This window comes from Homo sapiens, chromosome 18 (assembly GCF_000001405.40).
Source record: "Homo sapiens chromosome 18, GRCh38.p14 Primary Assembly".
In the NCBI taxonomy this organism is placed as follows: domain Eukaryota; kingdom Metazoa; phylum Chordata; class Mammalia; order Primates; family Hominidae; genus Homo; species Homo sapiens.
The window spans coordinates 58,214,943-58,240,249 of record NC_000018.10 but is presented as its reverse complement, the minus strand read 5'-3'; the positions used below and the strand labels follow the sequence as shown (position 1 = coordinate 58,240,249).

General features: G+C 42.2%; 1 protein-coding gene across 42 annotated transcripts in view, besides 3 other annotated features; it reads right to left on the bottom strand.

The window, feature by feature from the left end:
- The window catches only part of NEDD4L (NEDD4 like E3 ubiquitin protein ligase), a 357,315-nt gene that overhangs the window by 161,291 nt on the left and 170,717 nt on the right, over nucleotides 1-25,307 (bottom strand). For 12 of the 42 annotated variants that reach the window (XM_006722426.5, XM_047437406.1, XM_047437407.1 and 9 more), the window contains one exon: nucleotides 12,343-12,420. The exons of 27 other annotated variants lie outside the window; for them this stretch is intronic. In XM_006722426.5, coding sequence (XP_006722489.1) covers nucleotides 12,343-12,420 — 78 coding nt within the window. Of the gene's footprint in view, nucleotides 1-12,342; nucleotides 12,421-18,492; nucleotides 18,680-25,307 lie in introns of those variants that run through there. 3 more of the 42 variants (XM_024451134.2, XM_047437416.1, NM_001144966.3) reach the window with 2 other exon arrangements.
- Nucleotides 8,012-8,061: an enhancer, noted in NCBI's record as "active region_13386". NCBI's record gives its function as "activates an Ori minimal core promoter by ATAC-STARR-seq in GM12878 lymphoblastoid cells {active_cell/tissue: GM12878}" and the evidence as "EXISTENCE:reporter gene assay evidence [ECO:0000049][PMID:35858748]".
- Nucleotides 15,001-15,100: an enhancer, noted in NCBI's record as "active region_13385". NCBI's record gives its function as "activates an Ori minimal core promoter by ATAC-STARR-seq in GM12878 lymphoblastoid cells {active_cell/tissue: GM12878}" and the evidence as "EXISTENCE:reporter gene assay evidence [ECO:0000049][PMID:35858748]".
- Nucleotides 16,320-16,913: an enhancer, noted in NCBI's record as "H3K27ac-H3K4me1 hESC enhancer chr18:55890569-55891162 (GRCh37/hg19 assembly coordinates)". NCBI's record gives its function as "activates a minimal SCP1, AML or CMV promoter by ChIP-STARR-seq in primed H9 embryonic stem cells {active_cell/tissue: H9 hESC(primed)}" and the evidence as "EXISTENCE:reporter gene assay evidence [ECO:0000049][PMID:30033119]".

Sequence of the window (25,307 nt, the reverse complement as noted above, 5' to 3'; positions counted from 1 at the left end):
TTGGGAGGTTCTAGCTGTTCACTCACAAGTAAGACACCTCACTGTCACATAAAAGATTACATCTGAAAAAAAAATACAAGGGTGACATCACCTTAGAGATATGAGACATGCCAGGAATTGTGCATGAAATCAATGGCTAGGAAACAGACTCCCTGAACTAAAATGAAGTCATAAGGAGTCTGACAGATGCCAAGATACTCAGCAGGAAATCCTCAGGCACCTGCTCTCTCAGGAGAGGTCACCAAGAAATCCTGGTCAAAAATCCACTCGGATTTTGCAAAATTTCCAAGAGAAAAGCTTTTCAATTATTGTCTCTTTCATTCTCAACATAGAATCCAGTGCTGAAAATTCAGTTCTCTCTTCTGGGCCTCTGCTCCAGTTCTAATAGAGAGACTGCAGGCCTGCACTGATCTCAAATGGGTTTAAAGAATTCAGAGATGGAAATCTTATTCAAGGGTCTTGTTCCACCTTCATCACCATGAAGCAAAAGACAGCGCAGACGAGGTCATCTGTCAGGGAGAGTTGAGAATGAGATTTTCTGGGTTTGCTCCATTGCTCAACCCTTCTGGGACACACTCCACAGGGACAGTCGTCCTGACCAATCATTATTGGGGTAATGCTTAATCCTCTCCATTTGATTCACTGAAGTGTTCCATGTTCTTTCACACCTATTATTTGCTCATTTTTATCAGAATAAATAGTCTTTGCTGAGCTCCACATATTTTAAGGGGGCAGGGTCGTAAGGGGAGAGGGGAGGGCAGGAGTTGCCTCCAAGGGGCAAAATGTCAAGGGGGATTACATTCAGTCTGCAGCCAGATTGCAATGACACCCTGCCTTGTCTACCTGCTATAGAGGTGTTCTTCCAAGATACTTGGATAACAGAAGAACAACGAGAAAGGTCTTCATTTTTCAAGTGTGCCTCCAGAGGGGTGTCCCAACCTTAACCAAAGGAAGCAATAACTTTTTGCTGTAAAAGGAAGATGGTCAATATGGCACTGGGACAGCTTGCAAAAAGATTGTGTCTTTGCTCCCTATGGGCAAAGAGCAGAGGGCTCATGGATGCAGCATATTTCACAGCACTATACAGCAAATTTCTTTCGACTACCTGACACACTAAAGATTTAGCTAACCCACAGAAAGTTGCATTGCAAAACCCGTTTTGTTAATGACAACTTGTTTTGTTGAAGGTTTCCTCATTCTTTTCCACTTTTACTGTTACCATCAAGTGTTACATAATAATTTCTATCCTCAATAAAGTAATAACACTTATAAAACATTTATAAACAATATAGAAAAAATCTAGAATGTGTGAGAAGAAAAATATCCATGAATACATGCAATAATATTGAAACTGAAGTTTTTATCTAACAAATTGTCAAAGATTGAAAAAAGGTAATACTTTCTAAAGAGAGGCAGACATTTAATACTCTACTACTGGAAGGAATAATTATTATATCTTTTCTGGGAAACAACATGGCAGAAGTATCAGAAGCATTCAAAGGGTTGATGCCCTTTGATTCATCAAATTTATTTCTAAGGATTAATCCCAAAGAAGTAATCAGAGAGGCAGGTAAATATTTACTGGTAAAAGGTACTCATTACAGCATCATATATAATAAGAAAAAATTAGAAGCAAACTTCCAGTCCAATAATTGGGAAGCAATTAAATAAATTATGGTACAATCATATACTAGAATATTATAAACCCCTAAAATCATGTTAGGCTAAAATGTTAATAGTCATTCTCTCTATATGATGTTTACGAATGGTTTATTTTTCCATTTATGGTTTTTATTAAGTTTCTACTGTAAGCAAGTACTACTTTTATGAGTATAAAAAAGTTATCAAAAAACTAATAACAGTTACATATACACTTCAATGAGGTACTGAACCCTGTAATTTCATGGCCAGCCTACATCTCAATAACAAACCCTAAAGGGCTTCAAATATTTTGTTTGCCCAGAAAATTGACCTAAATAGATGACTACTGAAAAATTTTGAAAACAAAACGTACATATCTTTCAGCCCAAGATTTACTGAAAGGTATGAAGCATAGTTTAAAATATATCACTCATCACCAATACTGGCAATGAGCCACTACTCTTAAATATGTACAATTTTCCAGCAAAAATAAGAGATTAATGGGTTAGATTACAGTCAAATGCATTCTTCACCTAAGCAGCTAAAAAAGACATTAAAACTTTATTGCTTAGGCATAGTCTCTGAAGCTGCCGAAGAACACACTTTTGGATGCTTCCATTATGATGGTTTTGTTGTTTGGAGCAACTAGTGGTTTACCTGCATTCTAAAACCTTCCCAGCCACTCGAGTCTTGAAATCTCTAGCCAGGACCAACTCTGGCCTTGCAGCCCCCCTTGCCATCCATAACTAGTCACTTGAGGGTCCCAACCTTGGGTCACAGAGACCCCTGGGAGACAGGGGGCAACTGTATGTGCATCTATCTCTAACACATATATACACAGCTCTGATGATATCTATATAGCTATTTATATAGGCATCTACATAGAGATCATCAGAGCTGTGTACACATGTGTTGACTAATAAAATATGTGCTAATAAAAATATTTTATTAATATGTGGTGACTAATAAAAATGTTTAAATATTTAAGCTTAAATAGTTTGTTAAAAAATTTTGTTCCCTTATCTTTTGGTAGTAAAAATGTTGTTCAGTGGAAGTCACAAAAAGGAAGATTTCACCTATAAATTACTGAAATATCCCTTCAGTCACCAAAGAAAATGACAATCTGTGACTTGTCTTTATTGCCAGCATATTTTCTTATGCCTTTTCCCCATATATGTGCAACTACCAGAGGTTAAGAAAACAGCTCTTTCTTTTATGTTATTAATAATAGAGCCAAGAGAGATAGCAACTCACAAGGCTATAAGGAAACGGGGAAACAAAAACTGTTCCCTTTTTGGAAACTGTTTCACAATTGATTTTATTCCTCAGATAGTCAAGGAGCATCCACCATACACAAGGGACTGTGGTGGGCACCAAAGTGGGGGGCGGGGAATAGAGGTAAACAGACACAGACCCTGCCCACAAAAAGACTGTCTACCCCTCCTCCAGAGGAACCAAAATCAGACAACAGTGTTTCTAATGCAGATTTTGCCTTTGTGAAAGGTGGCGATATATATATTAAGAGCTCGAAGAAGCTGATAAATGACAATTATTGTTGTTATTATTATTATTATTATTATTATTTGAGATGGAGTTTCGCTATTGGTGTCCAGGTTGGAGTGCAATGGCATGATCTTGGCTCACCGCAGCCTCTGCCTCCCAGGTTCAAGCTATTCTCCTGCCTCAGCCTCCCGAGTAGCTGGGATTACAGTCATGCGCCACCATGCCGGGCTAATATTGTATTTTTAGTAGAGATGGGGTTTCTCCATGTTGGTCGGGCTAGTCTTGAACTCCCTACCTCAGGTGATCCAACCACCTTGGCCTCCCAAAGTGCTGGGATTACAGGCGTGAGCCGCAGCGCCCAGCCAATGACAATTATTTAAGGATGATCTGAAACGTAGGAAAAACTATGAGCAATGGTCATAACTTCCAGGATCATTAAGCAGCTTCTGGGTGCCAGCACCGTGCCTGGTGCCTCAGAGACATCATCGCTCATCCCTACAACAACCTTGGCAAGGAAGATCTTAGAGTCTCCCTTTCATGGATGTGTAAAAGAAAAGGAACGGCTGTGAGGCCAGGAGGCAAAGAAAAAAATTCCAAGACAAGATCACCACAGTCCGTGAATACTTCCTCTCATGAGTGAGTCTGGGAGGACACTGAGTCACCAGAACAGCCCACCTACTTCCCTCATGGTTAGAAGAAGAAACGTTAACCCAACCAGTACTTCATAAATTTTTTTTTCTTTTTTTTTTGAGACAGGGTCTCGCTCTGTCACCCAGGCTGGAGTGCAGTGGCAAGATCATGGCTTACTGCAGCCTCGACCTCCTGGGCTCAAGCGATCCTCCCACCTCAGCCTCCTGAGTAGCTGGGACTACAGACACACACCACCATGCCTGGCTAATTTTTAAAAATTTTTTGTAGAGACGAGGTTACTATGTTGCCCAGGTTGGTCTCAAACTCCTAGCTTCAGGCGATCTTCCTGCCTCTGCCTCCCAAACTGCTGGGATTACAGGCGGGAGCCACTACACTTGGCCAAAGACCTATGTTTATTTTTATTTTAATTTTTATTTATTTTTGAGATGGAGTCTCACTCTCTCGCCCAGGCTGGAGTGCAGTGGCACAATCTCAGTTCACTGCAGCCTCCGCCTCCCAGGTTCAAGCGATTCTCCTGCCTCAGCCTCCCAAGTAGCTGGGACTACAGATGTGAGCCACCACACCCGGCTATAAAGACATACTTTTAATTGTTTAATTATATTTTATCCTTTTTATAATAAACTGGCTCCTTCTATCTCCAGTTTATAAAGCACACAGCCTTAAAAGAAAACACCCACAGAGACACAGATTGTACTGGAAAACAAGTATGGGGACAGACTTCTGAACTAATTATTCCCTTGGAACCCTGAAAGTCAATTCCTTGACCAGTCTCACCCATGTCCTTGCAACTGAAAACAGTTCTGGCCAAGCACAGGAACTATGAACGTGATGTCAAAGTGGAGGCAACACCGAGCTGTGTCTAACTAAAAAAGAGAGCAAGTTCTAACGGCAGGAACTACTCAGGGAATTCATCCTGGATTAACTAACCAGGGAAAAAAAGATGCTTACTTTTAATTAATTCTGGCAGACATTGGTTCCCAGGACTCGGCTTGCACTTCACTTCCACTGTCACCGTATGCTCCTGGGATGCCAGGACTAGAGCTGACATGCAGAGGCACACGGTATCCCTTTTGCATTGCAGAGAGGGACGCTGCTGAGCACCTATGTGTGTCCAGTGCTCAGGACAAAGGTCTAGCCAAGGGAGACACTTTTCAAGTGAGTAAGCAACAATAAAACCTGTTAGCAGTGCCACACCGAGAGTGGGCCTCACAGGGTCAATGTACCGGACAGACAGTAAATTGAATGGTGGAGCTCACTGGTATACAATTATGTGTACTGGTAAACACTTCCTGTGTACTTAAGCATCAACCTCTTTGCCACTGAGTGTTTATATGAGCCAAGCACCGTCCTAAGCCCTTCCCGTACAATCTTTGAACACACCTGGGAACATTCTGGGCTTCTCGGTGGGGGAGTAACAACGGTGCCAGAAGTACCTCGGGAACTTATTCTACACTCAGCTCAGTTCTCACTGCAAAATCTGACTTGATTCTCACAGGCGAAATTGTCGGAGGGAAGGGATTCCTCCCTCACATGGAGTTAACAGGGGATGTGGCAGCTTCTAATGTCTGAACAGGCAGCCCCCCAGGTGACACCCATTCAGTGACACAGCTGCTGCTGATACACATTCCCAGGGGTACCAGGAAAGCCCTGAGGCAAGATCTTGAACTTGGCACTGGCCTAAACACAAACAAAGAATGGAGCTGCTCGTCTTGATCCATTCTCTATCTTATAAGATGGGGAACTATGTTCCCCCAGTATTTCAGAATGTGACCTTCTCTGGAAACAGGGTTTTCACAGAGGTAATCAAGTTCAAATGAGGTCACCAGGCACAGTGGCTCATGCCTGTAATCTCGCCCCTTTGGGAGGCTGAGATAGGAGGATCCCTTGAGCTCAGGAGTTCAAAGCCAGCCTGGGCAACATAGTGAGACCCTATCTCTACGATTTTTTTTTTTAAACTTAGCCAGGCATGGTGGCAAACACCCATGGTCCCAGCTACTCAAGAGGCTGAGGTGAGAGGATTGCTTAGGCCAGGGAGGCTGAGGCTGCAGTGAGCCATGATCATGCCACTGTACTCCAGCCTAGATGACAGAACAAGACCCTGAGGGAGGGAAGGAGGGAGGGAGGGAGAGAAGGAGGGAGGAAGGGGGAAAGGGAGGAAGGGGAAGGAGAAGGGGGGAAGGGAGGGAGGAAGGAAGGGAAAAAAAAGAAAAATATTTTTAAAAGAAAGAAGGAAGGAAGGGAGGGAGGGAGGCAGGAAGGGGGGAAGGAAGGAAAGAAAGAAAGAGAGAGAAAAAGAAGAAAGAAAGAGAGAGAGAAAGAAAGAAAAAAAGAAGGAAAAGAAAAGAAAAGAAAAGAAAGAAAGAAAGAAAGAAAGAAAGAAAGAAAGAAAGAAAGAAAGAAAGAAAGAAAAGGAAAGAAATGAGGTCATTAGGTTGAGCCCTGATCCAATATGACTGGTGTTCTTATGAACAGGGGAAAGGTAGACACAGAAACAAACAGGCACAGGCACAGAGGAAAGACGATGTGAAGATACAACGAGAAGATTGTCATTTACAGGCCAAGGAACAGAGAACGCTGCTGGCAAACATCACAAACTAGAAGAGCCAGAAAGGATATTCCCATAGGGCTCAGAGACAGCAGAATCCTGCTGACTCTTAATTTCAGACTTCTGGACTCCAACACTGATAGAAAATAAATTTCTGTTGTTAGCCACCTAGTTCATAGTGCTTTGCCATGGCAGGCCTAGCAAACTAATACTCCATTAAAGCCAACCTTTTTTGGAAACGCTTGGGAAAAAATGTGTTACAGAATTCTGACTTTTTGTCTCACTTTAGAAAGATAACTGATATGGTTTGGCTGTGTTCCCACCCAACGTCATCTTAAATTGTAGCTCCTATAATTCCCACATGTTGTGGGAGGGACCCAGTGGGAGATAATTGAATCATGGGGACAGTTTTCCCCATTCTTGTGATAGTGAATAAGTCTCAAGAGATCTGATGATTTTATACAGGGTTTCCCCTTTCCCTTGGCTTTCATTTCTCTCTTGTCTGCCGCCATGTAAGATGTGCCTTTTGCCTTCTACCATGATTGTGAGGCCTCCCCGGCCATGTGGAACTGAGTACATTAAACCTCTTTTTCTTTATAAATGACCCAGTCTTGGGTATGTCTTTACCAGCAGCGTGAAAACGGACTAATACAATGACTCAGTGATTATTCCAATTATTATTATTATTATTAGTTTGATTATTCTGATTATTGCATAGCATCCCCAGTAGGGGATGGGGCAGGGCCCATAAGTGAATGTTAATATCTGTGCAGCAAGAGGCACAAAGCATTGAATGAAGTGTTATACAAGATGCCTAGAATACTCTCAAATCTGTTCACATCAGGTTTTGCTCTCAAATCAATTTCCTACAAACCTGTAAAGATGTCTTTGGTTTTCAGGGCTTTTTGGACTTAGAAATGGCAGGTAAAGGATCGTGGATCTGCCCTAAGAACGCTTAAAATATGTGCCCTCCTCATGCCACCCTGCCAACCACGTTCAGCCTGCAGTCCAAAACACACGCCTACCTGTGAAATCCTAGAATTCCTCAGGGAGACCAAAGGGCAAAAGTTTCCCCTCAACTCTCAGAAAAACAACTTGCAAAATAAATGTTTAGAGAGTTTATCTTCAAGTCTATTAAATGTGCAAACAAACCACCAGACACCTGACTTTTCTGTTATTCTGAGTGCTGCACTTCTTGAAATTTTTTAAGCGAGGATAAAACAATTGTGTGATCACAGAAAGAAAAAACTATAATCAACAGAAAAAGAGCCACATTACGGTGATGCCCCCTATATCCCGACACAAGGGTGCCATAGGATATGTATTTTCTCCGGTTACACAGATCAATTACGGCAGGTACCCATGTTTGGAACCCCTGGGCCCATGCACTATCAAGAAGAAAGGGAGTTTATAGAAAGAATGAAGCCCACATCAGCATTAAAAGTCTTGGCTGGCCCACCAGCGTGAACTGTGGAATCCATTACTACACCTCTAAAGCTGGACACACACTGGAGATTTTTGCTTGTGTCTGATTCATCCAAAAAGGACACATTATTATATTTGGATCTCAGGGATCTCAGCCTGGTTAAATCCAATACAAATCTGAGGGCATTTTGATTTTTTAAAATCCTCTCTTAAGTTACTGTGTGTGTTAGACTGGATATTGAAGGACTTCTACAGAGAGTGCAGAGCAAGCTCTGTAATAATTAGTAGAGTGTTGTTCCTACACACCCTGCCCCACCTCGTCAGAGCACATGCTTGAGCATTACAAGTTTTTGCCTCTAGATGACACTGTTTTATGGGTGTATGTTTCTCCCTGTCCCTGTGACCGTGGAGAAAAAAGTGCTAAATAATCATGGGGTAAAGGCACAGGGGACACATCAAGATAATTTACATAGAACAAAATGCACCTCTCCTATAATAGCCATGGAGTCAGACCTCTGTTATATTTAACCAGCAGAACACAGGGTCCTTCCTTTACTTTTGCCCTATGCTTCCGACTTTCTATTAGGTGGGAAATGGAGAATCCAATTTAAACCACTTGTTGGCCAGGCACAGTGGCTCATGCCTGTGATCCCAGCACCTTGGGAGGCCAAGGCAAGTGGATCATCTGAGCTCAGGAGTTCGAGACCAGCCTGGCCAACATGGTGAAGCCCCATCTCTACTAAAAATACAAAAAATTAGCCGGGCATGGTGGCTCATGCCTGTAATCCCAGCTACTTGGGAGGCTGGGGTAGGAGAACTGCTTGAACCTTGGAGGCGGAGGTTGCAGGGAGCCAAGATCAAGCCACAGCACTCCAGCCTGGGCGACCAAGTGAGACTCTGTCTCAAAACAAAAACAAAACCACTTGTCAATAACAGCCACATCTGTTTGGTTTTCCAAACAGGTCAATCTAGTATCTTCACAGTTTTCAGGGTGCTCAGCCCTGGTGTCTATTCACTCATCCTTCATGCTTTCCCCCCATGGCCTTGGAAATCTTTGATTCTTCCAGGCTCCAGGCAGCCAGCACCTCCTTTCCCTCAACTCCCCAGGATGAAGCACCCCCATAATAACCAGCCTCTCCACTCTCTGAATTCCTACAGTCTGAATACTTAGACCACTCCCTTTTCCATGGAATCTTGTGTCTGTTGTTTGTTCCTTTTCTGTTCTTTTTTTTTTTTTTTTTTTTTTTGAGATAGGGTCTCGCTCTGCCACCCAGGCTGCAGTGGCACAATCTCTGCAGCCTGGATCTCCTGGGCTCAAGCAATTCTCCCACCTCAGCCCCTGTGAGTAGCTGGGACTATGGGCATGCTGCCACACATGGCTAATTTTTTTTTAATTTTTGTAGAGACAGGGGTTTTCCCATGTTGCCCAGGCTGGTTGCAAACTCCTGGCCTCAAGGGATCCTCCTGCCTCCACCTCCCACAGTGTTGGAATTACAGGTATGAGTCACCACGTCCAGACTTGTTTGTCCCTTTTCAAGTATGTAAATCTTAATTCGCCTAAACCGGCTGCACGTCACTCAGGGCCACTGTCCATGTCTTACGCTAGTGTGTCTTTTCCATGCAACCTTGTACAAAACGGGCCTTCAATTAACATTTCTTGGTTGCTTGACTTCTTAACACACACTATGATAGGTTACCTTCTTCCCAGGGTTACATGTTTGGAAAATAGTCTTGTCTGAGTTGCCAAAATGTGGTATTCTCAGTGTGTTTACCTCATACCTGACAATGGCACCTCAGAATGTTGACCTTCTTCGGAAACAGGGTCTTCACAGAGGTAATCGAGTTCAAATGAGGTCACCAGGCACAGTGGCTCATGCCTGTAATCTCATACCTGATAATGAATAACTAGATGCAGAATTTATTTTCCACATAAATCTAATTTTCTTGAACTTGCTTCATTTTCCTCTTTTCTATAATGTAGGAAACACAGGGTCATTTCACATAGTGTCTTGAGTTATAAGCTCACATACACTCAAAGAAACAACAAAATGATTAAAAAAAAAAAAAGAAGAAGCTTCACAGTGAACCTCACTTCCGCAACATCACCTGATACCAAAAACTGAAATCATAAGCCACTTTCGATTAACTAAAAGCATGAACATATTAACTGACTTATAGAGTTGATATCCTTGTGTGTTAAAAACAAATATTCAAATCAAAAGAACACAAGAAATACTAATGTTTGAGGACTAACTTTGGGAGGAAATAATAAAACATTTAATTCCAGAAACCTGATGAGGCTGTTAGTAATCACTTATAAACTGAAAGGGGAGTTCACATTTAAATATAGATCTTCAGCTCACTATGCACCATTATAATTTTTGTTTCCAGTTGCTTACATTCTTAGCGTCATTTTTCATGCTTTTTCATGTCTGCTGTTGATATTTTTCCAACCTGAAAAAGCTTTCCTTTTTTGTTTGTTTGTTTTGTTTTTTTGAGACAGAGTCTCACTCTGTCGCCCAGGCTGGAATGCAGTGGCACGATCTCGGCTCACTGCAACCTCCGCCTCCTGGGTTCAAGGGATTCTCTTGCCTCAGCCTCCGAGTAGCTGGGACTACAGGTGCCCGCCACCACGCCCAGCTAATTTTTGTATTTTTAGTAGAGACGGGGTTTCACCATATTGGCCAGGATAGTCTTGATCTCCTGACCTCACGATCCGCCCGCCTCGGCCTCCCAAAGTGTTGGGCTTACAGGCATGAGCCACCGCGCCCAGCCGAAAAAGCTGTCTTTAAATGAAGTTGTATAAGCCTCAATCTAGATATGAATCTTCACATACAAAATAAACTATTAAACAGCTCTCAATAACAAGGATTGAGAAAACATTCATTGTGATTAACCTCAAATTTTTGTGCAGCTGACGTGGAATGAGATAATATTAAAGAGCAATGACAATTATATTAAGTACTGCCACTTGGGGATACAGCGAGCATTAGCACAAACAGAGACATGAGCTCCCCCCCAGCTAGGTTATTAGGGGACAAAATGTGTGATAGATCACCGCAGGCAATGTGAGAGTGCACAGGGACTTTGTTACCGTGCCATCTGCTATGCTGGGGCAGCAGTTTGAAACCTGAGCAACTAATGTCCCGGGAGCATGCCTACCTGCAGCGTGGCTCCTTACAAATGAGCCCAAGTCCTAACCAGACATGTGCCATCTCAATGTAAGAAATGGCATTTGTGTGGAAACAACTATGTATTCTAGCCAAATATCACTAATGAATTGCTAATGACATTGACACTGTATATATTCTGCAGTCCATAATTCTGAAAAAGTTCTAAAAGGTAAATAGGTCCTATAAAAAACACCAAAGGAAAAGGGAAAAAAATCACCCTCTTCCATGGTTAGCAAAGTCGTTTTACCGCAGAGCAGTGTTCTAGCACTTCACGTGCACAGGGATTGCCTGGGATCTGGTTAAAATGTAGTCTGATTGGGTAGTTGTGAGCCGCGCCTCGAGAATCTGCATTTCTAACAAGCTCCCTGGTGATGCCAGTACAGCTGGTGGGAGTAGCAAGACTCTAAAGAAGCTCAAATACCACTCACTTTGCAAAGAATTCCAAGTGTGGAAGAGTGCATGGGCTTTCCCATAAAGAACTGAGACTTTAGGAATATCAAGTTGTATGTGGATACTCCCCAACGCTCATCCTGGGCCTCTTTTCACACTGCAGCTTTCCTTGGAGGGGGCTCACACCCTGCCTCCACACAGACCTCCCTGACTATTAAAGGCCAGGACCTCAGGCTTGAGCACCAGGCAAGCAAATGAGGGCCCCCTCCGGCCATCCCAACCTCACTGATTAAGCACCTTGAGGAGAAAATTCACGGAAAGTCCCAACCTCGCCTTTTCCGTATCTTGTCAATGCAGCCAAATTATTAATCAAATAGCCTATGCCTCACCCACTCTGCACTGGTTCTTTGTAACCTACAACGAACTATTGTGGCATACACGGTCTGCCCAGCTCTGGCCCTATTCCATGTGCCTTATACATGTCACCAAGTGGAGTGACTATGACTTTTAGTTCTCAGAGCACAGCATGCTTTCTCCTCTGCTAGAAATGTCCTGCCCCCCACCTGGCATGCACGTAACGTTAAAACAAGCTCCAGTGCCTCTGGGAAGGCTTCCTGGCCCTCAAGCTCCACTCCTGTTGGCAGAAGCCTATCAGTAGCGCAGTTGTTTACTTATGTGTCCATTTCTGCTATTGGTCTGGAAGCTCCTTGCGAACAGGGCCATGCCTTGGTCACTTGTGTGCATCACATTCCAGTCACACAGTGGGTCTGCAACAAAGGTTGCTTTACAGGGCACTGAGATGGCCCTAGGGTAGGTTAGGCAAATGGGACATGGGGGTAATGGCTGGAGTGGGGTAGGGTAAATCTTGAGATTTATGGTAAGTAGATACTGGAAAATATCTGTCCATCGTGAAGCATACACTTTTCACATGCTGGGCAAGAGCCAGCTCTATTATTTTAAGGTGTAATACTGCTCAAATTTGGGGTAAATTGGATAGAAATAAAATAGCCTTACTTGCTATTATCAGACTCACACTTGGTTATTTTTCTGATGTCACGACCAAAAAAAAGTTCAACAGCAATGGAGCAGAAGCTGAAAGAGAAGGATAATCTGCTCTTAGGGAGTTTGAACAAGAGGCAATTAATAAAGGATTAAGCTAAGTAAAACCACAGCAGAACACGTAACTGCAGCATGTTGAACACTGAAAACCAGAGGGGCAATTAGGTAGGAAAAACCCACAGTGGGTAAAACACTCACTGGGTCAATGAACAACAGTAGGAACTTCGCGAGGCTAATCCCTTGTGGACAGACCTCTTTCTAGAAGAGAAGCAAGGAAAGCAGACTCCAGCCCTTAGACAGAGCATGCAGGGACGTCTGGTAATTCGACTGACCGCACAGTCCTAAGAATCACCCAGCGAATTCCATTTTACTAATGTGTAAAGGTGGGATGAGGTGACCTGCAGACAACTCACCTCCAAATACTGACAGCTCAGAAGAAACCACAGCCTCCACACTGACCAAAATCACGATCAGGAGGTCCTTCAGGACACCCCCAGGAAGACTGCCTGGAGACTCCCTCACACAGACCCTCCTAAGTCTCCGGGGTCTGCTTTTTTCTCCCATTTCTTCATTCAACAAGTTGTCACTGGCACCACTACATGTCTGGCATGGTTGTTTTAGGCACCTGAGATATGCCAGTGAAGAAAACAGACAAAACGCTCTACCTCTGCGGAGCCTACATTTTACCAAGGGGAGACAGGTAGCAAACAATCCAGAATAAATTACTAAAGTTCACAGTGTTAGAAGATGATAAAAACTAAAGAGACAAGAAGCACAGCAAGGAGGACTGATGTGGGGACGTGGAGGCAGATACAGGCTGCAGGGTAGGCAGCTTTCTGATTTTGTGATATCTGTGAGTAGCCACTTGAAGGAAATTAATATCGTTCACTGGAGAGGCAGACTCTAACAAAAATATAACAATTGCATATTTGACAAAGATCAGGTTTTTTTTTTTAACGGATGGCTTGGTTGATTTGATCTAGGGTAACACAGCGGCATCACAGAGGGCATGCGCTCTGGAGTCTGACACACCCTGGTTTGTTTTCTAGCTCTGCCATGTGCAACTAAAAACAACTGGATGTCATCTCTGTCAGCTGTAGCAGTGAGGCCTCATGAGATGAGAGGTTTGTACACCCTCTAGCACAGTGCCCAGCACTTGGTGAGCCGAGGCTATTAGCACTGCTCAGACTTAAGACCACAGTAGGTCCCAAAGCCTTCCCTGTCCCCAGGCACAACACAGGAACTCATGCCCCTGCTCACTTGAGAAGCTCAGAAAAGACAGAAAAGCTTTAAGAAATTTAGGAAGTAATAGAATGGTCTCATGACTGTGTTGCTCTGCATATGCGTTCACATTCGTCCCTCCCCCTCAGTATTTATCCTTTAGTTGCAAAACATCATTTGCCAGGCCTGGTTTGATGGATTACTATAATCAATTTTGACTTGGGGGTCAGGGGAGAAAACATAGAGCTCTGCTATTGGAGGTCACTTAATTTAACACAATTGCATTTGGCAAATGACAAAGCTGGGAGATAAAGGGCACTTTTGCCTTCAATGGTGCAGCCTCAAGTTCAGGCCTTTACTTCTAAGTCTAAACTACTATACCTCTTAGAGGGCAGAATAATTAATTCTCTCTGAGGATATTCCATAGGCGTGGATATTCCTAGTTTCCAATATTGATTAGATGAGAAGAGACTTGAGTATCTTTGATGAGTGGAAATATTTTTTTCCAGGAAATATCCATTCATTCTGCTCCAAGATCAATGGCCACTTACCCTTCTATACATAAGAGTTTATAGCTTTCTATGATAATGATGTTTCTAAAGATTTCTAAAGGTTGGTTTTCTTGTTTTCTTTTAACCACTAACCTAGTGTCAGCCGCAACTTCCATATTAACTGCAAGTAGACACACTGGAAAATGTTAGGAGATACCATGGCAGAAGAAAACAAAACTGTGCTGTTTTATAAAAGATCATCCACCCATGTAATTGTGATGGCCTTACCCTGATTTCTTTATGTCCCTCAACACTACTACTAATTCTATTATCAGTTGACTTGGCTATTATGGGTCTCCTCCACCAGGCTGAAGTTCCCTGCAAGCAGAGAGGTAGGTGGTCACAGATGGCTGTGCAGGCCACTGGCTCCGGACCTAATAATGTGCCCTTGGCCTCTTCTATTTGCACTGGTATCTCGAGCAGTGGTCCCTGATGGGCTTGGTACATATTTGCTGAATAAATGAATTTCACCTTAAGGTTGGGAGGCCACTTAGACTCTAACTGGTGCATTTGCCATTTGGGAGCTTGCAAGCTGTATTTTACCTTGCCCACACTTCTCCCCTTTCTTAAAAAATAAGAAGCAAAGCCAAATATAGATGTGCGCAAGCATAACAAAAAGGAAATTTAATTGTGAAGCGGATAAAACCCAGCATCAGGCAGATGAAGCGGCTGGGGCTGCTCCCTGCCCAAGGCGGGACAGTGGGTTCCCCGCCCACATTGCTGAGCTGAATCTCACTGTTGAGTTTCTGGGGTTTTTTCCCTAACCTGGTTATTGCTAAACTGAGATGCTGGCTTTGTCATCAAAGCTTTCAGTTCTGTGTCATGCTCAAGATCAACTTTTAATGGCAATATCTCTAAAAAGGGATAAATGCATCATCTCTCCAGGGACCTGCAGTTCCACACGGGTGACAGGGCCCTGACTGTGTCTTGTCTTCTCATTCTCTTCCCCCCCAATACCCCTTTCTCTCTGACATTTGTACTCTTCAGCTTTCATAATATTTCAAGCTAAGTGACTTTTTTTTCCAGACACAGAGCATTCCTCTGCCATACACACAGAGAAACCACTCACCTGGAGTGGGTGGCCCCTATCAATAAACAAATAATTTAAAGAAAATAAATTTTTTTAAACCAAAATTAAGGGGCATTTTCCCAATCTGATCACCATCCTCATTCAGACCAATGCTTCAAGACTGTTAAAGTACATATTTAAATATAAATAAACAAATCAAGTGAAAACAAAAGTAACAGGAAAAGAACAATCTGACTTAAGGAAAAAATGTAGCTCAACAAAAACAGACAAGTGAAAGGGAGAAGGAGTGCCCCTCAATGTCTAGCACAAGAGACACTTAGGAAATATTTGGTAACTGACTAAAAGAATAAAGAGAAGACAACTTGTTTTCAAGTAATGAACAGGACAAGTGACTTAAATAGCCTTTTGAATGAGTTAAGCTAAATAGTTATACAAATATAATACCACACAGGACGGTGCCCAAAGAGAACAAATTCCTTTCAGATAGATCACTCACTGATTAACCTCAGGTACAGTTATGGCCCTGAAAACCTCAACAAAACAGGGCAAGAGAGAAAAAGTGGAGTATATCAAAATGCCTTAAAGCCTGCCACGCCATTTCCTCTAATGAAGTTAGAGACTTCCTTCCAGTGTCAAGCCTGTCAACTCAGCATGGCAGATCTCGGCCAAAATAAACTCCTGGACCCAGTTAATTGAGCTAAAAGGAGTCAAACCCCAGCACTGGCAAAGGCTCAAAGATCACACCCCCAGGACTCTCAATGGCTTCTGCCCAAGAATCTATGACCAAATGACCTCTGATAACGTGACAGGGTTTCCAGTCACTGACCTTAGTCAGAGGAGGCTGTTTATAATTGCATGTGATCCTCTTGCCTGCTGCAGGCCAGATGAGTAATCGTGAAGTGAACAAGACAGCTTACATCACTGAAAGCGGTGCGTTTTCCATGTATTCTACGGAACTCCACTGAGTCCACTGGACTCCCGGATCTCTATTTCCACTTAGTCTGAAGGGCAGGGGGCTCTTGGCAGGAAGCGCCCAAGTCCTCCCTGTGGCCCCTGTGGGAGGGAATCTGGGTACCGCCTGCCCACATCCCACTGCCCACCTGTGCTCCTGGGTACTGAGAAAACCTGGCCAGGCACAGAGGAAGCACAAATATTTACTGTAGACGAGGGTGTGTCGAGTGACCCTTGGGGAATTCTGGGCCACTGGGAACGCAGTCAAGATAGACTCAGAAAACAGCAGAGAACATGTGCTTCTGCCATTGCCCTGAAGGCCAACGGCCTCTGAAACCTCCGTGATTCAAGGTGAGCGAGTGGCAGGCTCACTTCAAGCCCACCTGTAGAAAGGAAAGCCCCGTCTATGTTACTAGCACACTACATCATATTTAACTCAAAGCACATAAGAAGGAAAAGATTTCCATCAAGGTGAAAGAAACGATATGAAAATGGCTTCACATGAAAACTGACTTGGTAAAACCCTAAGAAGTACAGGCTGAAAAAATAAACATTGCCTGGAATGAAACATAAAAATCCCAAACAACCCTCCCATCCCAACAGAACCGTCAAGACCACAAAAGCTCCTGTCCCATCACTTGCCTTAATAAGTACATAGAGCCCCCCACCATCACCACATCCACCAAACAAACCACTTTGGAATAAAACTTCTACACTCAAGTAGCAGAATTCATATAATTTCATACCTGCCTTCATTTTATATCTTTTCATTATATTCCACAGTGCCAAGAAAATGTCCCAAATGTGTCGTTTTAAATCAACATTTAGTTGCAATACAGGACTCCAGAAAACCTTCATTTAACTTAAAAAGGCAAATTTTCATAAAAACAATAGGAATGAAAAAGGTTAAGGCATAACATCTGTAACTAATACAGATGTTTACTTCCTCTTAACTAAATAAAAAGCATTTCTTCCTCTCTTCTTGACTTCCATCTTACTAGATTCCCACAAGAATTAAAGTTCACCTTGTATTCCTTACAGACATTAAAAAAGGTTTAAAAAAAAAAAAAAAAGGTCAGCACCCACCACTGTGGCATTCTTTCTCTTCCTGGTCATTGCTAATGAAACTCACTCACCAGCCTGGGGCCAGCACAAACATACTTTAAAATCCCACTTCCCTTATAGAGTTATTTGCTTCCTTTTGTTTCTTTCACTGGCAATATCTCATTCAAACATGTGTAAAGTACTTTTCAATGTGAAATAAGTATTAAAGAATAAACATTAAAGAATAGCTATGAAATAAGTACTAAAGAATAACTCAGATTTGACTGTAGGCTTTGATATTTCATATTGTTGATACATTTTTATTGTCTTTAGAATTCCGGCCATCTTAACACTTAATGACATCAGAAATACTTTACTGAAAGTAACCCGGCTCATTAATACGAAGGTGTGGCCTGCACTCAAATTTATTTCAAGCTTTGCCAACATATGGATACACTATAACCAGTTAACTAACAGTTTATGAATCACCATGAAATGAGACAGTAAAGAAACAAAAATCACATGTTAATCATTCAGCATATTCACATGTATGAGTAGGAAGGGTGGGAAAATGATAGAAAACCTGAGGGAAAAACTCAGTTGAATATGTTCTGGGCTTTGACTTTTGTTTTCTCAAACAAAAAATATAATAAAATTTAGTCTAAATCATGTAAGCCAAATTACTCATACCGAGGAAGAGAAAGATTTCTGTTGCTACCAACCAAAAATTCAGATATAAGCCATGAATTATTCTCCAAGCAAACTATTTTATGACCTAAGATGGTATTTTACTTGAAACAAAGGAGAGCTGGTATCTCCCTCTTCTCCAGGAGGTTTCTAAGTCAGAAATACTGAGACTCGAAACAGAACAGGAAGGAAAACACAATTCTTTCCTCCTCAACCTGTGATTTCTAAAACAGAAAACCTCATTCATAGAACTTCAGCGGTCTCTGTTTTCCATTATTTTCAAAAATAAAAGTATTATTGCTTTGGTTTTTGGAAGAAAAGCTGTACATTTTTCTAAACAGTCAAGAAAGTTAAGAAGCAAAGAACAGGGGACCAGAATTCTGATCCCAATTCTTTTCAAGGCTCATTCTTTGCCTATCATTCTTTTTATGCATAAGGAGGGTAAAATTGACCAATTATAGCTAACTGTGAACACCAAAAAGCATTTAAAATTGAAAATCTTGGTACATGCTAGAACTATGCCGCTGACATAAAAACAGTATTAAACCAACATCAAACTCACACCAAGAACAGATGTTATGCATTCATATAGCAAACATACAGTGGTGTCTTTGTTCTTACCTATACTTTTCCTCAAAGCTGCTGAAAAACAAGGCTGGAAAGTGTTCAGCTGGACTAGCGCTGCTGGAAATCTACCTTGGTGACCCTCCGGCTCCCTGGCCTCGTCTTCCTCCTTCCCAGTTTTAAAGCAGTGCCCGTACACACCTCTGCTGATACCGGGGGAATACCAGCAAGTTTTAACACAACTGAGAAGGAATGCGCCCAGCTCGCTACTTATACTGATGATTCACTTCAATGACAGGTAGAAAGAAATGCTTGTTGGTGGAAAAGGGGGTTGCGTCAAGCTCCACCTCCTACCATAAGGTTAAGTAGCTCCACCCAGCTCAGCAATTAGCTTACATCATCACCCGGGGCCTTATCTCCAGGTTCCCTGCAGTTGTTCCTGCAGCATCTTCAAGTGAAGTTCTCAGTGGGCTTCCACACAGGATGGGCAATAACAGAGGTCATGAGGTTTTGTGGATGACTCTATGTCTGGCGGGGCTGTTTTGCTTATTTAAAGCCAGATCAGAGATTTTGGCATTTCCAACAGTAGAGGTCAGCCCTTCACCCTGCCACAAACTAACTCAGCTTCTACATTCTGAGGTTCTGGCCCTCGAGGCCCCACACTCGGCAGATGGGAACACAACTTCCTGGCCCTCCAAAAGCTTATTGTCTTGAAGAGGGGAAAAAAACAGGAACAAAAATAACTATGATACAAACTACAGCCCCCAAAAGAATCAATAGTCAGATGAGAGACAGCCCCGCCCTGTAAATCTGCAGTCTGTACTGTGCATCCCAGTTTTCAGATCCCAGTTGTGTGCCCTTAGGTGTAAATCAGGGCCTTGAAGGTGCCAGCAGAGCTCTACCCTGGGACCCAGCAGCACCATGTCCTCGTTTGAGGGGTAGTCTGGCAACCTGACCACCCTTACTCTACAGAAATTCCAAGAGCAAGTCAAACATGTGCTCTCTGCCTGCGATGGGCACTATGCTACTTCTCTTTCCTCTTGCTGGAAGAAGTCACACCCTACTCTCCAACCCATGCAGCCCTCCACCCCAGCAGATGCGGCTCTAATAGGAAGTGTCCCCAGTTGTAGCAAACAGCTAACTTTCTATATGCACTCAAATGTGGTGGCATGCTCACTCGCGAAGTGTTCCTGGCATCTCAGCTGAGAAACCCTGTAAACTAGACTTGCAGTTCCCCCCAGCGTTCAAACGCTGGGATTTCCAGAGGTGGGGGGAAGATGAACGGATCACCCCTTGAGGCTGGGAGGACTGCTGAAGGCTTAGAGGAGCAAGTGGGCACCAGGGTTCAGCTAGAAACATTCACCCTCCTGGAGACAGGGGGACAGTGCCAACCATTCTCAGTCTTTTTTTTTTTGAGATAGGGTCTCACTCTGTCACCCAGGCTGGAGTGCAGTGGCACGATCTCACTACAGTCTCTGCCTCTGGGGTTTAAGCAATTCTTGTGCCTCAGCCTCCTGAATAGCTGGGACCACAGGTGTGAGCCACCACGCTCCACTAATTTTTGTATTTTTGGGGTTTTGCCATGTTGCCAAGGCTGGTCTGGAACTCCTGGCCTCAAGTGATCCACCCATCTCGGCCTCCCAAAGTGCTGGGATTACAGGCATGAGCCATCGTGCCCAGCCCGTTTTCAGTCAAATTCTTAAAACAAGAGGAACATCTCAAGTTTTCAGTCTTCAGCAGTTGAGGATACACAAGTTGCTGAATAGACTAAATTTAAGAACAAGATTTCCATCATCTTTGATTATGTCTAAAACTATCAAATTAAGCTACAATGTTTCCAATTTACACACTAGCTGGAAGGTTAAAAAAATAAGAACCACAATACACTATAAGAAAATGTACCTAAACAAGTTGAACAAGTTTTTATTTATTTATTTTTAACGATTTGCCTATTCCCTTAAAGATAAAAAGCATCTACACGTCCTACCAAATGTTACCTGATTGTGATGGGCTTAATTGTATTTGCCCAAAATTCCTAAGTTGAAGTCTTTAATACTTCAGATGGTGACTGTATTTAGAGAGAGGGTATTTAAAGAGGTAATTAAGTTAAAATGAGGTTAGTAGGTGGGTCCCAATCCAATATGACTGTGCCCTTATACGAACAGGAGATTAGGACACGGACACAGGTACACAAATGACCTGGGAAGACCCAGAGGAGCATCTGCAAGTCAAGAAGAGAGGCCGCAGAAGAAGCCAATCCTGCTTCATCGCAGGCTCCGGACATCCAGAGCCCTGAGAAAACAAATTTGTGGTAGTTGAGCCACCCAGTCTGTGCTACTTTGTTACGACCGCCCTGGCAAACAATCACAACACTAATTACACCACTGTTTCCCTCTGAAAATTAATACTAAAAAATTGAGACAATTGACATTTCTAATAACCATTCCCCCATAACCATACACTTCACTTGAGTATGCTCACTTTTGCCTTGTCCCATGAGGTTCTCATGCCTCAAAAAAATGCATAGAAAAGCCTCATTCTGGAAGGGAAAAAAAGGCTACATTTGATCTTTCCAACTCCAATTCTGCCACCTCCATTCTAGGCAAACTGATCAAACAAATGGTGTACATCCACCTCCCTGCCACCTATGTCATTTTCCCTAACCCAGAGAAATCGGCTTCTGCCAAACTTGCATTAAAATGTAACTGGAAAATAGTCAGTGACCATCAGCACCAAATGAAAAAATGTTAAGCCTGGAGGGAATGCTGGAAGTCTTAGTTCAATTCCTTTTGTCTAGAGGAGAAAATTAGGGCCCAATCAAAGCAGCGCCATGATCTAGGGACAGAGGCTACAGAGTGGATTCAACCCTCACACCAGCTCCAACACAATGTTACCACCACTGCCTTCACAATACTATTCACTGAGGGAAGCCTGAAGCTATTCTAACCTCACCAGTGTCCCAAAATGAAAACTGCCACCATGATCACCAGGCTATAGTGAAAAGAGACAAGGATGCACATATCGGGATAATCCATGGAAGATGGCCAGGTTCTGAGACTAAGTCTAAAACCAGCTTTCTTTTACCGGGGCACTACTGACATTTTGTGGCTGGGTAATTCTTGGTTGTGGGGGATTCGATGTGTCTGGATTTGATGAAGAAAAAGCTGCTGGCGTCTTAAGACAGATACTTCAGTTTTATAATCTGGGCAGAATGCAATAAGCAAAAGGAGAGGAGGGACGAGCAGCCTCCCTAGAACTTTCCACAGCCCTCAACGACCAACAAGGTCACTGAAGAGACACCTGGGAAGACCAGGGGTGGGTCTCCCAGAAGTCTGGCAGTAGGAGAGGATGCTTTCATTCTTGCTCATTTCCCTTGGAATTTTTTCTAAACTCAAATTTCAAAATGAAGTTAAAAAGTCATGACATTCCTTTAATTGTATATTGCTTACACTTAAATGTAAGCAATAAGCCATTGTTGGTTGGCACCTAACACTTCCGACAATATTACCCAAAAAATTGCTCAATACTGTTGACTACACTTAAAAGACTGGGCAGTTTTTAGGGTGTGGTTTTATGAAATACCACAAAGGGTCACAATGGATCAGCTTGTTTCAATGCAAAGCAAAGGAAGTATATAAAAACAGTTAATTCAACTGTAGGCAACATAGCCAAAAGGAATAAGAAAAGCATGAAGACTGATTTCATTCAAAACAGGATTTTATTAAGAACATAAAATCTGAATTTCATAGTATTCCAAAGATGGTTCAGTTTTTGTATTTTGTTTGCTTTTGTTTTTAATCTCAGGATTTGTTAGTGAGATCATCTTGATATTTTCCTCTAAAAAGTCATCATGAATTTATCCATACTCTGCAGCCTTCGAAAAGTACGTTTTTAAAAATAACATTACGAGCTTTACTAAAATGCTTACCATAAAATAGTTTAAAAAGCATCATTCTAAAAAATATCATAGTATGATTCCAAATTCATAAACTATTTCCATATACATAAATATAAATATAGCCAAATATAGATGGAAATAAAATTAAATGGTAACCAATTTATATCCCTGTGGCTATTTGGCTCTACAGGTAGATCAATGCTTTATGTTTTATCTTTTCCAATATCTAAATCTGTTACAGTCGGAAAAAAAAGTTATTTAAAAATTGCTAAGATTAGCTGGGTATGGTGGCATGGACCTGTAATACCAGCTACTCGTGGGGCTAAGACAGGAGGATCACTTGAGCCCAAGAGTTATAATGCTGCAGTGAGCTGCAATCACACCATGGCACCACACTCGTGGGTGACAGAGCGAGACCCTAGCCCCATAAAAAATAAAATTAAAAATAAACAAACTGCTAAGAATGTACTATATCACTTATTTTAACACAGTGAGTAACCAAATGAGAAGAATTCAGATGCTGAGGGTAGAGGAGACCCAAGTTTCTCTATTTTGTTCAAAACCAGCTACAGTAGAGGAGAAACTAGGACACTTGGAGGGGGAGGAATAAATTGAACACAACGAAGATAACATGACACAGGCAAAAATCTTTACATAACACAGGCAAGGTTTGGTGATAACAACATAGGCTTGAATTTCCTCACATGGTCTTAAATCCCTCCTAACTCGCGTTAGCTTTTTCTTCCAATGCCTTACAAATGTGTGGTTTACATGCTTCATAAGGTCCTACAATCAACTCACTATAACAAAACATCTGAAAGGCAAATTGTTTCATCAAGAAGGGGGAAAGGTCTCCTGCATCTTTAAATGCCATTCAGTAAACACAATACGATGTACCTCTTCTGCTCAAAGCATTTGAAAAGACCCCAAGATTTGTATCCTCAAAACATTTAGAATCTGGCAGCTACAGACAGTTCCTAATTTATGAAACCTTGTATTCCTAATGTTTAATTTTTAGGGCTGTTACTTAGGATCCTGATCACATTTTCACAGGAAAGAAAGACCTCAACCTTAGTGAAATCTGCCAGTTCCTTAGGCTGTAAAGACCATCTAAATGGAAATGACTCTGGCCCCTCTTTTGAGCTCCATTCTCCTCTACCACCATCTTCACACATCCACTTGGAGATCTAAGGGATGCCTTAGACCTAAAAGGAGCAGTGATTCCACCTCTGCACTGCTCCCCAGCGCATCTGTCCCATCTCAGTGGCCCCCAGCCAGTTCAAGAGGACATTTCCTCAGTTCTGCTCTTCCCTTTCTCTCTTACACATCCAGTCAATCAACAGATCCTAAGGGCTCCATCCCCAAATTTAATCTCCCACCATCTCCTCCTCTCCATTCTGAATGTTACCATTTTGGTGTTTAAACCATCCTCTCTCACTCAGGCCTCTGCAACAGCCTCCTAACTGGCCTCTGGGTCACTCTCACTTGCTACAATAAATCACACCAAGCCACTCCTTTCTTGCAACTCTCCAGGCTGACTTACTACAACCTTAAGCAGGAAATGCAAATTCCCCAGCACCCACACAGCCCTAAAGAACCATGGCTCCTTTACCTTCATCTCCAGCCCTCCCCCATGAACTCTCTCCCTTCCCCAGCCCCACTGACCTGGCTACTTCTCAAACCTCTCAAACTCACTTTCACGTGCCTCTCTACGAACACTCCTCCCCCAAATCTTCAGGGCTGCTCTCTTCTCTGCTGATGATAAATGGCACAGTGAGTCTTTGTGCTGATTGCAACATAAACTAGTACCACACGTTAGGAAAGCAAATTGGTAATCTATACCAAAAGTATTTAAATCCTAATATTCTTTAATTTAGGAATCCCATTTCCAGGGAGGTATCATAGGAACAGAATCTGACTAAAAAAAAAAAAAAATTCTTGTTTTGCACAAAGATATTCCCAGTACCTTTCTCTCTTAAATGAAAAACTGGAAACAAACTTAACAGATATGATAAATAGGATATTGTACATTCAGAAACATATATTACATATTGGAATAAATCACCAAAATAGACTATATCTATGTTATGATGCGAAGTATAAATATACATTCTCTCCTAAAAAACAACTAAAAGGAAAATGCCAAAATATTAAGAGTGACTGATGTTCTTTCTGTTGTTTTTTCTGTTTTTTCCTCTATTTTTTTTCAGACTTAGAAAAATGTATAATTTTCACAATTAGAGTGGGGAAATTCCTTCTTGTTTTTAACAGAAGGAAATTATGCTGTAAGTAGTTGTTAGCTTTCCAAGTCAACAAAGAAAAGACACTTAAAAACACAATGTTAAAATTAAAAGGTGCTATACAAGATATACAATAAATCAAATGAGAAAAAACATATGACAGATGGGGAGTTAAACTGCCCATTTTACAAAGAATTCTTATCAATGAAAAATTAATAGGTCAAAGGAAAAATTGACAGAAGGATGTGAGTTGGCACTGGATAAAAATGGAAATATAAATACACGAAGAGATACTTGGCATCACTGACTGAAGACATAAAATGAGATGTTTTTACCTTCCATAATGTCGAAGATGAAAAGACTGATAAAATGGGTTAATATTGAACTAGGGAAAAACTGGTACTCTCATCAACCACTACAGCCAGTGGAAACTAGTGCAGTACTACAGAAGGCAATTTCCCAACGTCTATGAACATTGTAAATGTTCTTGTCCTTTGAACCAGGAATTCAACTATGGGAACTTAACTACAGAAACCCTCACACATAGATATATCACGAAACACCAGGCTGGGTATGGTGGCTCACGCCTGTAATCCTAGCACTTTGGGAAGCCAAGGCAGACGGATCACTTGAGGTCAGGAGTTCAAGACCAGCCTGGCCAACATGGTGAAACCCTGTCTCTACTAAAAATACAAAAATTAGCCAGGCATGGTGGTGCATGCCTATAGTCCCAG